We start from the raw sequence: 3657 nt of genomic DNA on the forward strand, positions 1-3657 counted from the left end.
AGAGATATAGTAACCAAAGCAGCACATACTGGCATATAAACAGATATGCAGACCAAAGGAACAGAATGGAGACCCCAGAAATAAATCCATGCATCTACACTGAACTTATTTTTGACAAAGGTGCTAAGACCATACATTGGAGAAAGGACAGTGTCTTCAATAAATCGTGCTGGGAAATTGAATATTCACATGCAGAATAATGACACTAGATCCCTATCTCTCACCATATACAAAAATCAAATTAAAATAGAACAAATATTTAAATCTAAGACCTCAAACTATGAAACTACTACAAGAAGACATTGGGGAAAATCTCTAGGACATTGTTCTGGGCAAAGATTGCTCGAGTAACACCCCCAAAACACAGACAACCAAAGCAAAAATGGACAAACAGGATAAAATCAAGTCAGAAAGCTTCTGCATAGCAAAGAAAACAACCAGCACAATGAAGTGATAACTCACAGGACGGGAGAAAATATTTGCAAGCTATCTATCTGATGAGGGACTAATAACCAGAATATATAAGGAGCTCAAACAACTCAGTTGGAAAAAATCTAAAAATCTGATTTAAAAATGGGCAAAATATCTGAATAGACATTTCTTAAAAGAAGACATACGAATGGCAAACAGGTTTATGAAAAGGTGCTCAACATCATTGATCATCAGAGAAATGCAAATCAAAACTACAATGTGGCCTCATCATACCTCAGTTAAAATGGCTTTTATCAAAAAGACAGGCAATAACAAATGCCAGCAAGGATATGGAGAAAAGGGAACTCATCCACTGTTAGTGAGAATGTAAATATAGTACAACCACTATAGAGCACGGTTTGGAGGTTCCTCAAAAAACTAAAAATAGAGCTGCCATATGTTCTGCAATCCCACTGCTAGGTATGTACCCAAATAAAGGGAAATCATTATATCAAGGAGATATAATGCACTCTCATGTTTGTTGCAGCACTGTAAACAACAGCCAAGATTGGGAAGTAACCTAAATGTCCATCACTTAGGTACATACACACAATGGATTACTATTCAGCCATAAAAAAAGAATGAGATCCTGTCATTTGCAGCAACAGGGCTGGAATTGAAGGCCATCATGTTAAGTAAAATAAGCCAGGCACAGAAAGACAAACTTTGCATGTTCTCACTTTTTTCTGGGAGCTAAAAATTAAAACAATTGAACTCTTGTTGATAGAGAGTAGAATAACAGTTACCAGAGGCTGAGCAGGGTAGGGATAGGGGGAAGTGGGGATGGTTAATGAATACAAAAATATAGTTAGAATGATTAAGAACTAGTATTTGATAGCACAACAGGGAGACTACGGTCAACAGTAATTTACTGCATATTTTAAAATAACTAAAAGAGTGTAATTGGATTGTTTGTAACATAAAGAAAGGATAAATGTTTGAGGTGATGGATACCCTATTTACTCTGATGTGATTATTACACATTGCATGCCTTTATGAAAATACCTCATACATTCCACAAATATATACACCCACTATGTATCCAAAAAAATTTTTTTAAAAAATAAAATAACCTGGTACTTGACCAAACAGCTAGGTACCATAGCCTAGCCAAGTTGGCACATAATTAATCTGCAGATTTGGATTAAGACATTTTGCTCTAGAGAGATTACATTTGCTTCTGACAGTCTCTTGGGGACATTACACTAATCAGAGACCTACTTAAAACCAACTCAATTCTTAAGATGGTATGGACTATGCAAGATATTAAACTTCAGGTTGCAATTCCATGAGAAGCCTGGTATACTTCTGGTTGACCCTCACTCAGAGTATGTAGTTCTTTAAAATCCCAGCTCATTTTGCATAAAGTTGTCTCTTAAACCTCTTACTTCTGCCAGTCCTGGGCTTTGAATTTTTTCCCACTTGCCTTCCAAAATGATCAAACCCAATTTACAGGAGACACAAATGCAGGTCAAAAGTAGCTTTGGTGTTTCTTAAATTCTCTTCAATGTTTTAAAATAATATATTATTCAGGTTTTTTTGGTAAAGTTTTTGAGGGAGAAATTATTAAAATAATCTAGCCAAACATTGCTTCCAGAAGCTAAACCTAAAATTTTCCACTTTTCCAGTGCAACATGAAAGTTCAAACAAAACTTCCTCCTTATCAAAATATAATTAAAATATAAAAATCTGATGGAAAAATAAAAATTTTAAAGCAAGATTCTCCTTAAATTTTGTTTCTACAGAATGACAGTATCTTCATAGTGAAAGAAAAAAAAGAAAAGAGTGGTTTGTGGTCAAGTAAATTTGGCAAATGTTGCAATAAACTTTTTTTTCAGATTTCTCTGAACTTGATATAATATTTTTGCCTGTGTAAAGGAGAAGGGCATATTTTGCTGTGCTTTTTGAACTTATTTTACCATGAAATTTCTTCTTTACATGGAGCATCTCCAAGGACATGTGTTCCACAGCATATACTTAAAGTCGCTTGAAATTAATAGCTGTATTTTTCTCTTGTCCTAAGCTGGAGGTGCCTGCTCTTCCCTGCTGGGTTCTGCTCTATCCAGAATGGTGGCTAGAGTGCCATATTCAACAAGAGGGTGAGAAGCACAGAAAAGCTAGCAGGAGGGCTGTTCTGCATGTGCATAGGAGGTACAGGCGCAGGTTCACACCCAGGTGAAGAACTTTCCCAGGTCCTTGTGCTTCTCTGTACTCCCAGGCTTCTGGGACCTTGTGAGTCTTGTCAAAATCTGTGAGATTTTGCTCACCTCACACAGGCCCTGCACACTGTCCTCTGTGAGGGCCCGCGGTCTCACACCTACACTCAGGGTCAAGTAAAGACACTGTCTAGGAGCCCCGCTCCCAGTGAGCCCACCTAGAGAGCCCACTTTCACAGCACCAAACTTTTCACTGTTGGGTAGTTATGTGAGTTTCTTCTGAGATTCTCTACATTGCTGTTTTGGAAACTGCTTAATTATAAGTAATTCAGTCCCTAAATTTCATTTGATAGAGAACATATTTCACTGTTGAATCACAAATTGCATATGAATAAGTCATAGTCTGTTTCCTGCCTGCCCCATGATTTCATTATACATAAGTTTTATCACTGGGACCATTTCCAAAACATAAACCAAAGAGCTTTCATTATTAGTAGGACTGAGCATCATTTTGTGTTTTCTGGTCTTCTTTTTACTCATTGTAATTCTAAAGGCCATGTTAATCAATTTCTGAAACTCACTTAACCTGGTTCTAATTGATTAATGCATTTCCTCTCCATGTATTAGGCATTTTCTTTACTCTTGCTTTTCTTCTCAGAAAAATAAATGTGTATGTATGTGTGTGTGTCTATATACCTTGTAATCATTAATATGACTTGGAAAATGTTAAATTAACTAAAGTGAATGTGTAAAATAAGTTGGGTGAAAATATAACTTCATTGCAATATTGAGATTTTCTCTAGGGATGAGCAGGTCCCTCTGCTCAAGTCTCTAATTCCCCTTTTCACAGTTTAGTGATTCCATGCCTCTCCCACACATGGCTTAATTGGTGCAGTCTTTTGAACTTCTTGGAGTGATGTTATATTTAGTTGCCAATATTATTTCTGCTTTCTGTTCCCATGGTTTCTCAGTCAGGCAATCAGATCATCTGAAAATGCTACTTGGCCTTTGTTTCTGTATTTCCCAATTT

General features: G+C 36.5%; 1 annotated feature.

Annotated features, from left to right (window-relative positions):
- Positions 2013–3212: an enhancer, noted in NCBI's record as "P300/CBP strongly-dependent group 1 enhancer chr2:139024168-139025367 (GRCh37/hg19 assembly coordinates)". NCBI's record gives its function as "activates an origin of replication core promoter dependent on BRD2, BRD4, P300/CBP, MED14 and CDK7 cofactors, with strong dependence on P300/CBP, by STARR-seq in HCT116 cells {active_cell/tissue: HCT116}" and the evidence as "EXISTENCE:reporter gene assay evidence [ECO:0000049][PMID:35650434]".

Source organism: Homo sapiens, chromosome 2 (genome assembly GCF_000001405.40).
Source record: "Homo sapiens chromosome 2, GRCh38.p14 Primary Assembly".
NCBI classification, from domain to species: Eukaryota; Metazoa; Chordata; class Mammalia; order Primates; family Hominidae; genus Homo; species Homo sapiens.